Source organism: Homo sapiens, chromosome 16, assembly GCF_000001405.40.
Source record: "Homo sapiens chromosome 16, GRCh38.p14 Primary Assembly".
Classification (NCBI taxonomy): domain Eukaryota; kingdom Metazoa; phylum Chordata; class Mammalia; order Primates; family Hominidae; genus Homo; species Homo sapiens.
This window is the reverse complement of record NC_000016.10, coordinates 23284849-23299127: the sequence shown is the minus strand read 5'-3', so window position 1 is coordinate 23299127 and position 14279 is coordinate 23284849. Positions and strand designations below refer to the sequence as shown.

The 14279-nt window shown below is 45.2% G+C and overlaps 1 protein-coding gene across 1 annotated transcript in view, besides 1 other annotated feature; it reads right to left on the bottom strand.

Annotated features, from left to right (window-relative positions):
- The window catches only part of SCNN1B (sodium channel epithelial 1 subunit beta), a 103064-nt gene that overhangs the window by 82167 nt on the left and 6618 nt on the right, over positions 1 to 14279 (bottom strand). The window lies entirely within an intron of this gene.
- Positions 6120 to 6199: an enhancer, noted in NCBI's record as "active region_10577". NCBI's record gives its function as "activates an Ori minimal core promoter by ATAC-STARR-seq in GM12878 lymphoblastoid cells {active_cell/tissue: GM12878}" and the evidence as "EXISTENCE:reporter gene assay evidence [ECO:0000049][PMID:35858748]".

Sequence of the window (14279 nt, the reverse complement as noted above, 5' to 3'; positions counted from 1 at the left end):
AGATTGTGCCACTGCACTCTAGCCTGGGTGACAGAGTGAGACTCAATCTCGAAAAAAAAAAAAAAAAAGAAAAAGAAAAAGCAAAAAGCAAAAAAAAGAACATAGCAATTTCATATGGTTCAACCCAATACGTTATTTTTGAAGGTTTTCTTTTGGGGCCCTGTTGGACAGTTTTAGAATGAGTCCCCTGTGGAACTGTGCTGTTGTGACCAGCTTTATACAACTGACATCTTCATTCTGTGTCATGATTTCCATTGTTGGAGAGTTGGAGTTTTGGGATGTCTGGGAACTCCAGACTGGTTGATGTTAGGCTGGCAAGTTTTAAGGCATGAATGTTTAAGCAACTATGAACAAAGAGTGTTGTGTTCTGTAGTTAACTTGGCCTCCTGAGGAGAAAACCAACTTGTTTCCCCTTTTTATTAGGGTCTACAGTCTGACACCATTAGACAGCATCCATATGGACTTTAGCCAGCTGTTTAGAACTGTGGATCGTTTTGAGGTAGGAAGTAGGCAAAACTTGACTCTGGATAAGTTTGAATACTGGCCAAACACGGAAGAGGCACCAACAGCACCTCTCCATGAAACAAGGCCATCAGTGCCATTATAGTTTACCATTGTCATGGCAACGCCGGGAAGTTACCGCCCATTTTCTAGCTATCTCTGAATAACCTGCCCCCTTAATTAGCATGTCATTAAAAGTGGGTATAAATATGACTGCTAGGCTGCTCTGGCCGTCATGGGGTAGCCTTGCTCTGCAGGAGCAGGGACAGAGCCTAACACTGCTGCTGCCTCAATAAGGCATTTTCTTCCACCACCAGCTAGCTGGCTCTTGAATTCCTTCCTGAATGAAGCCAAGAACCTGCCCTGCATTAATTTGGCCAAATTTTAAAAAACTCTTTTTATGGATGAAGATTCATGGGTTAAATTATGGCACAGTCAGATGAATTCACGTCTGAAAGGGTTAATGACTGGTTTGGGAGGTCTCTCAGGGACCCCCCAAAAAATGTTCTATTGAATATTTTTGTAGTATTGTGGAAAGACAGTCCTTTTGCTTTCTTTGGGTTAGTGCAATTCTAGGAGATGAGATCAGCCAATCTAGCCCTAGAAATCCATGAGATGTTAGATGTTGAAGCCATATTACCCTTTATAACCACCATCTCACACAATACTTTGCATAGAAGACAAGGTGAATATTCTTTTTTGGGGGTGTGGGAGAGTTGGGGACACCAAACATCCATTCATTCTACTTCAGGTAACTGCACTTAGTTTAGCTCTGGGGTCACCACTCCTTTTTCACCCCTCATCTGTATTTTGATCTTAGGGGTGTTGACTTCATTCATTACCACCCCATTCAGGGTGGATATGGCCCAGGCCTATTAATTAGCATTTTGTATTCCTCTTAGGATAGTAATTTGTTCATATATGGGATATGACCCAAGTCAGATTAACTATGGTTGGTGAAACTCTATTCAAGGACTCTTTCATTGAGCTCTCAGGGAGTTTTGCTGGCTTGGGAGTTGTTCAGATGGGGAGCTATATTTTGGAAGAGGCTGTATAATAATGCATTCCACCCAGAAAGATGACAAAGAGAAACTAGGTCCCGATATCATTGTTTGACCCAACCAAAAACATACCAGAAGTTAGCCCTACCTCCTGCACATTTCAGATGCATAAGACTATAAATTTCCTTTTTGCTAAGCCATCTTGGGGTATCTGTTGCTTGCAACCAAAAGACTCCTGGCCGATTCTGGTGAAAATTGTATCCAAATTGCAAAAGAAGGAAGTGAGGAGGAATAGCTAATACATCCATTTGCAGAATCTTGACAGACTGGAATGTCTGGCTCTAAACTGAGAATGTAAACAACAACAAGCACAAATGTTAAGTCCAACAGTGAGTGAGGCTCAGATAGGCAACTGCCTGCCTAAGTCCTGAAAGGGAAGCCATGGCTTGAGGCATGTGCTACCCTCCTGAGACAGAGGGTTAAGGACAATCTCAGAGATGCAGTGCCACCTACAGGTCCGGAGGCCCCCAGGCGCTGGGTCTCTGGCTGGGTTGGTGGAATCCTTATTCCATTGATCAAAGGCAGATCCCTGATCTTCAATTTCTCTCTCTCTCTCTCTTTTTTTTTTTTTTTTTGTTTTGAGATGGAGTCTTGCTCTGTGGCCAGGCTGGAGTGCAGTGGCGAGATCTGGGCTCACTGCAACCTCTGCCTCCTGGGTTAAAGCGATTCCCCTGCCTCAGCCTCCTGAGTTGTGCGCCTCACCAAGCCCAGCTAATTTTTTGTATTTTAGTAGAGACGGGGTTTCACTATATTGGCCAGAATGGTCCCGATCTCCTGACCCCGTGATCTGCCCGCCTTGGCCTCCCAAAGGGCTGGGATTACAGGCCTGAGGCACTGCGCCCGTCCTCTGATCTTCGATCTCATTGCCCGAGGCCACAGCAAGCTCCGGGTGCTTCCCTGCCTGTGACCAAAACACGCCAGCTGACACGATCCATGTCCTTTTTGTTATCCCTCTTTCTGTCTCCAATATTTCCCAGCCCTTTAAATTTTTGTTCCCATTTCACAGACCTGGAGGTGTCAAGGAACTTGCCCTAACAGCCACAAAGCCCAAAGAACAAAACCAAAGTCCATGTTCTGAAATGTTTTGCTAAACTGCACAGTTGCAAACTGACAGCCCTCGAGTGGGGTGGGTAGGGGACCGGAGAGATCCAGCTTTTGTTAACCTGGTACATTTTAGATTTTCAAACCAATGTTTAAAAATCAGAAAATAACATACAAAGGCCAATTTCCCGATTTTCTGGAAAATAAGCAGTCAGGAGAATTGGTGAGATGAGAGGCTCCTATTCCTGCTTGGCTTGGATGGCCTCAGTTCTCTGGATCCCCGTGGCGCCCCCCACCTCCCTGAGTCCCATACCCAGCCTGGGCCTCTTGTTTCTGCCCCAAGGGGAACTGAGTGTGGGGCCTCTACTCCTGGTACGTCTGGGTCACCTCAGTCTGACTTCTCCTTCAGCCCGACTTCTCCTTCAGCCCGGCCAATTGGCCACAAAAGCCTCCAGCCACTACCAAGCTTGGCAGTTTTTTCACATTGTTCCCAGAAATCCAACCGCAGAGCCCCAGATCACACAGGGTGCAGCCAGCCTGACGCTCAGGACTCACCTGGCAGCTCAGAGCGCATACTTTTCCATTTTTCTCTTCCCGCTCGCTCAGACTAAAAATTTAATCAGCTCCTAGGGCCTTGACCTGGGGAAGAGGAGGATCTGGGAACAAACTGTGATTTTGCCATGCAGGTTTTCAGCTGCATCTGGAAACCCTGAGAACGTTCAGTTGAGGCTTGGAGACTTTAAAAGGCTCTAACACTGTACTACCCTAAGAACTTCCTAAACGTGCAGGGGTGAAATGAATGATAATATATATTCTGTCATTTTCAAACTGCTGAATTCTCTGAGGTAATAAAAAAGAATGAAGTAAGGCCAGGGCTGGGTGCAGTGGCTTATGCCTATAATCTCAGCACTTTATGAGGCTGAGGTGGGAGGATTGCGTGAGGCCAGGAGTTCGAGACCAGTCTGGGCAACAAAGTGAGACTCCCCATCTCTACAAAAATTAAAAAATTTAGCTAGGCATGGTGGCATGTGCCTGTAGTCCCAGCTACTTGGGAGGCTGATATGGGAGGATTGCTTGAGCCCAGAAGTTTGAGACCAACCTGGGCAACACAGCAAGATCCCACCTCTACAAAAAATAAATTGCTGGGCATGGTGGCACGCTCCTACAGTTCCAGCTACTCGGGAAAGCTGAGGTGGGAGGATTGCTTGAGCCCAGGAGTTGGAGGCTGCAGTGAGTTATGATCACACCACTGCACTCCAACCTGGGTAACAGAGTGAGACCTGGTCTCAAAAAAAAAATGAAGTAAGGCCAAACATTAATGATCACTGATTTTGTGTTCTGGGCACTAGAGATACACCGGTCAACAAGGCAAAAACTCCTACCCTTGTGGAGCTTGCATTCTAGTGAGAGGAGACAGACAAAACACAAGCAAGATAAAGAACTTCTAGATGGTAATAATGGCTATACAGAAAAACAAATGCAGGCCAGAGGAGAGGAGTGGAGGTTGAAGTTTTTTTGTTTATTTGTTTATTTTGAGACAGTCTTGCTCTGTCACCCAGGCTGGAGTGCAGCAGTGTGATCTCGGCTCACTGCCACCTCCACCTCCCAGGTTCAAGTGATTCTCCTGCCTCAGCCTCCCGAGTAGCTGGGATTCCAGGCGCGCGCCACCATGCCTGGATAATTTTTGTATTTTTAGTAGAGATGAGATTTCACCATGTTGGTCAGGCTGGTTTTGAGCTCCTGACCTGAAGTGATCCACCCTCCTCGGCCTCCCAAAGTGATGGGATAACAGGCATGAGCCACCGTGCCTGGCTGAGGTTGAGCTTTAAATAGGATGATCAGAGAAGGGGACTCATGAACAAGGACCTAAAGGAGGTATGGAGGTTGGCTCTGCAGATATCTGGAAGAAGAATGTACAGGCAGAGGGAACAGCAAGGGCAAAGGCCCTGCAGTGGGGTGTGTGCTGGGTGTGTTTGAAGAGTAGCAAGACCAGTGTGTCCAGACAGGAAGTGAACAAAGAGAAGAGACTAAGAGGGGGGTTCAGAGAGGTGATGGGGGGATGGGAACAAAGCTTGGGGGAGAGTCTTATAGGCCAGTGTAGGGACTTTGGTCTCTTTGTTTGTTTTTTGAGACAGGGTCTCATTCTGTTGCCCAGGCTGGAGTGCAGTGGTACAATCTCAGCTCACTGCAACCTTCACCTCCCTGGTGCAAGTGATTCTCGTGTCTCAGCCTCCTGAGTAGCTGGGATCACAGGTTGCACGCCATCTCGCGTGGCTAATTTTTGTATTTTTAGTAGAGACTAAAAATACAAAAATACCCTGTCTTTTAGTAGAGATGGGGTTCTGTTATGTTGGCCAGGTTGGTCTTGAACTCCTGGCCTCAAATGACCCATCAGCCTTGGCCTCCCAAAGTGCTGGGATTACAGTCATGATCCACCACATCTGGCCAGGACTTTAGTCTTGAATCAGAGTGAGGTGGGATCCTTGAGAAGGTTTGGGGTGATGTAATCTGACTGGAAAATTTTTTATATTTTTTTTATTGTGGCAAAATATACATATATGCATGACATAAAATTTACCATTTAACCATTTTTCTTTTTTTAAGACAGGGTTTCACTCTGTTGCCCAAGCTAGAGTACAGTGGCAAGATCATGGCTCACTGCAGCCTCCACCTCCTAGGCTCAAGAGATCCTCCTCCCTCAGCCTCCTGAGTAGTTGGGGACTACAGGTGCATGCCACCATGCCAGGCTAATTTTTTTTTTGTAGAGAAGGGGTCTCCCTATGTTGCCCCGGCTGATTTCAAACTCCTGCACTCAAGTGATCCTCATGTCTCAGCCTCCCAAAGTGCTGGGATCACAGGCATGAGCCACCACGCCCAGCTCATTTAATCATTTTTAAGTGTACATCTCAGAGGCATTAAATACATTTACAAGGCTGTGTAACCATCACCACTATCCATCTCCAGAACTTTTTCTTCTTTCCAAATTGAAACTTTATACCCATTCAACAATAATTCCCCAGCCCCTGGCAGCCATTCTACTTCCTGTCTCTATGATTTTGACTACCTTAGGGACCTCGTATAAGTGGAATCAAACTCGTTTTTGTTATTTTGTATATGGCTGATTGCACTTTGCATAATTTCTTCAGGGTCCATCATGTTGTAGCATGTGTCAGAATTTTCTTCTTTTTAAAATGCTAAATAATATTCCATTGTGTGTAGAGACCACACATTTCGTTTGTCCATTTATCTGTTTATGGACATTTGGTTTGTTTCCACTTTTTGGCGACTGTGAATAATGCTCCTATGAGTATGGGTGTTCACTGTTTGAGTCACTGGTTTCAATTCTTTTGGGTAGATCTGACTGAAAGATTGTAAGTCTCACTTTTTTTTTTTTTTTTTTTTTTTTTTTTGAGAATGAGTCTCCCTGTATTGCCCAGACTGGAGTACAGTGGCGCAGTCTCGGCTCGCTGCAAACTTCACCTCCCGGGTTCAAGCAATTCTCATGCTTCAGCTTCCTGAGTACCTGGGATTACAGGCACCCAGCACCATGCCTCGCTAATGTTTGTATTTTTAGTAGAGACGGGGTTTCACCGTGTTAGCTGGGCTGGTCTCGAACTCCTGACCTCAAGTGATCCACCCACCTCGGGCTCCCAAAGTGCTAGGATTACAGGCGTGAGCCACTGCACCCAAACATTATAAGTCTCACTCTATTAGAATTGCTGGCCGGGCACAGTGGCTCATGCCCATAATCTTAGCACTTTGGGAGGCCGAGGTGGGCGGATCACTTGAGCCCAGGAGTTCGAGACCAGCCTGGGCAACATGGCAAAAATGCATCTCAACAAAAAATCAAAAAATTAGCCAGGCATGGTACAGTGTGCCTGTAGTCCCAGCTACTCAGGAGGCTGAGAGATGGAAGGATTGCTTGAGCCGGGGAGATTCACTGCAGTGAACTATGATCGCACCTCTGCATTCCAGCCTGGGCAACAGAGTGAGACCGTGTCTCAAAGAAATAAAAAGTAAAAGGGATTGGCCAAGCACGGTGGCTTATGCCTGTAATCCCAGCACTTCGGGAGGCCAAGGCGGGCGGATCACGAGGTCAGGAGATCGAGACCATCCTGACTAACACAGTGAAACCCCGTCTCTACTAAAAATACAAAAACAAAATTAGCTGGGTGTGGTGGCGGGCGCCTGTAGTCCCAGCTACTCAGGAGTCTGAGGTGGGAGAATGGCATGAACCCTGTAGGCGGAGCTTGCAGTGAGCCAAGATCGTGCCACTGCACTCCAGCCTGGGCGACAGAGCGAGACTCCGTCTCAAAAAAAAAAAAAAATAAAGAAAGAAATAAAATAAATAAAAAATAAAATTAAATAAAAGGGATTGCTGAGAATGAACTAAGATGAACTAAGGGTGCCAAGGGCAGAGCAGGGGGCAGGGTGAAAGCCGTGGAGGTGCCCAGATTCTGGATACAGTGCCCAGGAAGAGTTGACGTAATTTGCTGAAGAATTGGATGTGGGGCGTGAGAGAAAAAAACAAGTTGCAGAACAACGGCTACAATATAACATTACAGTATTTACACAAAACCTTGTAAAACAATAGAATACATTTAAATGGGTATATATATTTATTTATATAAATGCAGAGACACAGGTTGGGTGCGGTAGCTCACGCCTGTAAACCCAGCACTTTGGGAGGCCGAGGTGGGAGGATGGCTTGAGTCCAGGAGTTGGAGACCAGCCTGGGCAACATGGTGAAACCCCGTCTCTACTAAAAAAAAAAAAAAAAAATTAGCTGCGTGGTGGTGGTGCGTGCCTGTGGTCTCAGGTACTTGAAACACTGAGGCAAGAGGATCGCCCAAACCTCGGAGGTTATGGGTGCAGTGAGCCATTATCTCACCACTACATTCCAGCCTGGGCAACAGAGCGAGACCCTGTCTCAAAAAAATATAATAAAAAATAAATAAAATAAATGCAGAGACAATGTTTTAGAAGGATACAAACTAAATATTTAATGGGTATGTATACCTACACACACACACACACACACACACACACTTACACACACACATATATATATGGATATATAAAAAATGTAGAACAAAAATTACAGTAGGATACATATCAAATTCTGGAAAGAAAGGGAGGGAATGGGGATAAATATGTGGTTGGGCTGGGGGCAGTGGCTCATGCCTATAATCTCAGCACTTTGGGAGGTTGAGGCAGGTGGATCACTTGAGGTCAGGAGTTTGAGATCAGCTTGACCAACATGGTGAAACCCTGTCTCTACTAAAAATACAAGAAATTAGCTAGGCTTGGTGGCATGCACCTGTAGTCCCAGCTGCTTGGGATGCTGAGGCAGGAAAATTGCTTGAACCTGGGAGGTGGAGGTTGCAGTGAGCCAAGATCACACCATTGCACTCCAGCCTGGGCGACACAGCAAGATGCTGCCAAAAAAAAAAAAAGAAAAAAAAATGTGGTAAAGAAGAATTTGATCCTTAGATTTATGAATTTTTTTTAAGGTGTGTGGTCAGATATCACTTAGGTAATTAAAAAATTAAAAACCCTATTAAACAGTGCTTATGTCTTTAAAAAGAATAGGAGGGGCTTGCTTTCATTTATGACCAAGTCTTTCAGACAATTGTATGCTTAATGAGTCAGATTCACTTTCAAAACTTTCGAAACTTTTAATTGCTACTTAAGTGGCCTGAAATCACTGGTTCGTGCTGGGAAGGAAAATAAGAGACCTTCACTAGGTTTGGTCTACTAAAAGAGAACACCTTTCTAGCTAGTGAGGGTTTACAGCTGAATACGAGCCAGAAAGTCTAATTTTTTTTAATTAAAATTAAATTTTTTACACGTAGGGGTTTAGAAATAAACAGTCTTGAAGAAGTCAACAGTTATGGGGCCTTAAAAGCTAGAGTTTAGGAGGGGTGCTATGGCTCGTGCCTGTAATCCCGGCACTTGGAATGCCAAGGCAAGAGGATTGCTTGAGTCCAGGCGTTTGAGAACAGCCTGGGCAACGTAGCAAGACCTGGTCTCTACAACAAACAGAAAAAGTAGCTAGACATGGTGGTGCACACGTGTAGTCCCAGCTACTCGGGAGGCTGAGGTGGGAGAATCACTTGAGCCCAGGAGGTTGAGGCTGCAGTGAGCCATGATCAGCGCCACTGCACTCCAGCCTGGTGACAGAGTGAAACCCTGACTCCAAAAGAAACAAAACCTAGAGTTTGATCACATAAGTGTTGCTAATAATAATTTCAATAACAATAATAGTAGCAGCAGCAAGTGGCAAGTGCTTACACTTAGGTAGCACTTAACTGTGCCAGCCATCGTCTTAAACATTTTCTATCTACTAACTCTCTTAATCCTCACAATAGCCCAGTGAGACAGAGACTATCGGCCTCATTTTATAGGGGAAAAAAACGGAGACGTGCAGATTTCTACTGGGTGCATGTTCTAAAAGTCAAATCCATTGTCTGTTGTTTTCCCCCAGCCTGTTTCTTGCCTTTTTACTTCATTTGTGAGGTTTTGATCATATTGAAATGTTACATATTGGGTCGGGTGCAGTGACTCATGCCTGTAATCCCAGCACTTTGGGAGGCCGAGGTGGGTGGATCATTTGAGATCAGGAGTTCGAGACCAGCCTGGCCAACATGGTGAAACCCCGTCTCTACTAAAAATACAAAAATTAACCAGGCGTGGTGGCGCATGCCTGTAATCCCAGCTACTCAGGAGGCTGAGGCAGGAGAATCGCTTGAATCCCAGAGGCAGAGGTTGCAGTGAGCCGAGATCGTGCCACTGCACTCCAGCCTAAGTGACAGAGTGAGACTCTGCCTCAAAAAAAAAAAAAAAAAAAAGTTAAATATTGGAGTAGTAAACAGTAAAGCTGTGGGGATGCCTACAGTAGGTCCATTTGATTCCATCCTTTCTCTCTGGTTCTATATTTGAGGTTGGGGAGGGATTTCTTTTTTTTTTTCTTTGAGATAGGGTCTCAAGCTGTCACTAAGGCTAGAGTGCAGTGATGTGACCACAGCTCAGTGCAGCCTCAAACTCCTGGGCTTAATCGATCCTCCAGCTTCAGCCTCCTGAGTATCCAGGACTACACACCACCATGCCCAGCTAATTTTTAAAAATATTTTGTAGAGATGGGATCTTGCTACATTGCCCAGGCTGGTCTGAGGCTTCTGGCCTCATGCAATCCTCCTGTCTTAGCCTCCCAAAGCACTGGGATTACAGGCATGAGCTACCACACGCAGCCTCCACTGGTTTAGAGTCTCCACACAGAGCCAGAATAATCCTTCTATGACTCAAGCCATATTAAAGAAACAGAGTGACACTCCTCAGTCATCTTCGAAGGGTGCTAGGTGTGGCCGGTAGGCTCTAAGGTGCCCCCAGTGATTCCGCCTGCTGGTGTCAACACCCCTGTATGGGGAGGCTGATCTAGTGGCTTGCTTCTAATCATCGAAGATGGCAAGGGTGATGGGATGTCATTTCTGTGATTAGGCTATGTAAGTTGCTCACTGCTGTCTTGCTAGCACCCTCCCTTGCTGCCTTTGATGAAGCAAGTTACTATGCTGGGAGGGTCACATGGCAAGAAACTGAGAGTGGCTTCCGGGCAAAAACCAGACAGGAACTGAGGCCCCGAGTCCAACAACTCTTGAGGAACTGAATCCTGCTAACAACCACCTTTCCCCAGTCGAGCCTTTAAATGAGACCCAAGTCCTAGCAGACATTCACTCTATCACCCAGGCTAGAGTGCAGTGGTGTGATCAGAGCTCACTGGAGCCTTGACCTCCCCATCTCAAGCAATCCTCCTACCTCAGCTTCCTGAGTAGCTGGGACCACAGGTGGGTACCACCACACCTGGCTCATTTTTTACAATTATTTTTTGTAGAGGCAGGGTTTCGCCATGTTGCTCAGGCTGGTCTTAAACTGCTGGGCTCAAGCAATCCTCCCACCTTGGCCTCCCAAAGTGCTGAGATTTACAGGTGTGAGCCACTGCACCTGGCCCCAGCAGACACCTTGATCACAGCACCATGAGAGACCACAAAGCAGAGCTCACAGCTAAGCCTTGCTGGGGTTCCTGACTGGCAGAAACTGTCACGTAATAAATGAGTAATGTTTTAAGCCACTAAGTGTGGTAATTTGCTACGTGGCAATAGTCAGCTAATACACTAGGGAACTGACTTATTATTTTGAAAATTTGTAATTAAAAGGAGAGAGTCAAGAATGTATTCTGGCTGTCCTATACAAATGGAATCTGAGGGTAGTCATATAACTGATACGGGGGCAGTTTTCTTTTATAGATATATCCTAGCTAATAAAAGAAGAAAAAAAAATCCATACTTTGCAACTTTTTTGTTTTTTGAGACAGGGTCTAGACAGGGTCTCACTTTGTCACACAGGCTGGAGTAAAGTGGCGCAATGTCAGCTCACTGCAGCCTCAACCAGGGCTCAAGTGATGCTTCCACCTCAGCCCACCAAGCAGCTGGGACTACAGGCACACACCACCATGCCCAGCTAATTTTTTTTTTTTTTTGTAGAGATGGGGTTTCACCATGTTGCCCAGGATAGTCCTGAACTCCTGGGCTCAAGCAATCAGCCTACCTCGGCTTCCCAAAATGCTGGGATTACAGGTGTGAGTCACTGCTTCAACCCAGGAGTTTGGAGACCAGCCTGGGCTACATAGCGAGACCCCATCTCTTAAAAAAAAAAAAAAGGAAACGCTACTTAGTTACAATACCATCATGTCACAAAACAAAATGAACCCCAGATCTTTTCTATTTTTAGACTGAGTGTCACTCTGTCATTCAGGCTGGATTGTGGTGGTATAATCATAGCTCACTGGAGCCTCAACCTCCCCGGGCTCAGGTGATCCTCCTTCCTCATCCTCCAGGAGGTGGATCTGTAGGCCACCCCCTGGGACTACAGGTGCGTGCTATCATGGCTGGCTAATTTTTGTAGTATTATTTTTTACTGTTTGTAGTGACAGGGATTTGCTCTATTGCCCAGGCTGGTCTTGAACTCCTAGGCTCAAATGATCCCCCCACCTCAGCCTCCCAAAGTGTTGGGATTACAGGATCTTTATTAACATGTAATTCCTCATATTAGCATTTCCCCGGTCACCCTCAAAATGTCTTTTACCATTGGTTTAAACCGAGACCCAGTCAATGTTCACAAATTGCATTTTATCATATCTCTCTCTTTTTTAAAAAAATTAATTTTTGGCAGGGCACGGTGGCTCATGCCTGTAATCCCAGCACTTTGGGAGGCTGAGGCAGGCAGATTACCTGAAGTCAGGAGTTTGAGATCAGCCTGGCTAACATGGCAAAACCCCATCACTACTAAAAATATAAAAATTAGCCGGGCGTGGTGGTAGGTGCCTGTAATTCCAGCTACTTGGGAGGCTGAGGCAAGAGAACCACTTGAACCCTGGAGGCGGAGGTTGCAGTGAGTGGAGATCACCCCATTGTACTCCAGCCTGGGTGACAAGAGCAAAACTCTGTCTCAAAAAAAAAAAAAACAACCCAGCAACAACAACAACAGCAACAACAACAACATCAACAACAACAACAACAAAAAACTAAATAAAATTTACTTTTAATAGAGACGGGCTCTTTCTGTGTTGCCAGGGCTGGTCTTGAACTCCTGGGTTCAAGCAATAGCCTGCCTCAGCCTCCCAAAGTGCTGGGATTACATGTGTGAGCCACTTGTAATCAGGCTCCTGGCTTGATTCCATCTCTTAAGTCTTTCTAAATCTAGACTAGCTTCCCTTCCCGTTCTCTCTCCTTTTTCCAGGTCATTGAGCTGTTGAAGCAACTAGGACCATTGTCTTGCTGGTAGAATGGTCTACCTTCTAGAGTTTGATTGATTTCTTGAGGTGTATTTAATTTGTCCTGCTGTCTGCTGTATTTCCTATAAACTAGAAGCTAAATCTATGGTTTGATCAGATTTTGGCTACACGTTATCGGCAAGAATTCTTCCTGGGTGGTGTTATAAGTATGCTCTTGCATCACACCAGAAAGCTCAAAATGAAAGGCTGTCTCATTAGCGAAGCTAAGATTGATTCATGGGTTCAGGTGGTGACAACCAGATCCTTCCATTGTGAAGTCGTTTCTTCTCTCAGAACCAGTAAGTTCTCTATGGCCTGATGACTTGGCTGCTTGTGAATCACAGGAACCCAGGAGGCGGAGGTTAAATATCCAGCCTCCCTTGAACCTTTCACCTTGCAGTTTCAGCATCCATTGATGATCATTGTCTGAGTCAATCATTTTGTTCGGAGTTGCAAAGTTCTAATGCTCTCATTCCTTTGACATTTGTGAGCAGGCATTCTTCCTTAAAGAAGAGCTTCTTTCCCTCACTGACTAGGGCAGAATAAATTCTTTCCTTGTTATCACTACTATTTTTAGAGTAAGGACTTGATGCAACAGCTGCCTCCAATGATGACAAATAGTTCCTCCTTTTCTGTTTTCTCTTTCTCTTTTAAAATATCATTATGAATTCATTGATCTTTAAAAATAGATTTAATATGTTTCATTCAATGGTATTTATTATTTTAAGACAGTGTCTCGCTCTGTTGCCCAGGCTGGAGTGCAGTGGCTCGATCTTGGCTCACTGCAACTTCTGCCTCCTGGGTTCAAGCGATTCTCATTCCTCACCCTCCCAAGTAGCTGGGATTATAGGCATGCACTACCATGCCCAGCTAATTCACGTGGTTTTAGTAGAGATGGAGTTTCGCCATGTTGCCCAGCCTGGTCTTGAACTCCTGACCTCCAGTGATCCTTCTGCCTTGGCCTCCCAAAGTGTTGGGATTATAGGCGTGAGCCACTGTGCCCAGACTATTATTGTATTTTTTATTATTTTTTTTTATTATTATTGTTTTTTTACTCTTGCTAATTAAAAATTTTCTGTACAGATAGAGTCTTGCTATGTTGGCCAGGCTGTTCTTCAACTCCCGGGCTCAAGTGAGTCTCCTGCTTTGGCCTGCCCAAGTGCTAGGATTACACATATAAGCCACCATGCCTGGCCCATTTATTATTTTTTAAAACATATTTTTTTAGGCTGGGTGCACTAGTTCATGCCTGTAATCTCAGCACTTTGGGAGCCTGAGGCAGAAGGATCACTTGAGGCCATGAGTTTGAGACCAGCCTGGACAACATAGCGAGGCCCTACCTCTACAAAAAATAAAAAATTAGCTGGGTGTGGTGGTGCACACCTGTAGTCCCAGCTACTGGGGAGGCTGAGACAAGAGGATAGCTTGAGCCCAGGAGACTGAGGATGCAGTGAGCAATGATCACATCATGGCATTCCAGCCTGGGTGACAGAGTGAGAGTCTTAACTTCTTAACGTCTAACATGACCATATGGTACCTTTGACAAAAGTGAGAAACCAATGTTCATACATTACTATTAACCAAACTCTAGACTTTATTTAAATGTTACCAGTTTCTCCACTAATGTGTTTTTTCTGTTCCAGGATTATTCATTCTTTCTTTTTGATACTAAAAAATGGTCCAAATTGAGCAAGTGGGAGCCCTGCCAGGCTACCTCTGTGTCCTTCTGATGGGACCATGAACTCGCATAGTCTTTGATAAGCTTCTTTGCTTTCCAGCCCAACAAGATGCCCCAGGCTCATTTGGATTTGATTTGTTTGCCAACATTTAAAAAGTAGCAGATCGAACTT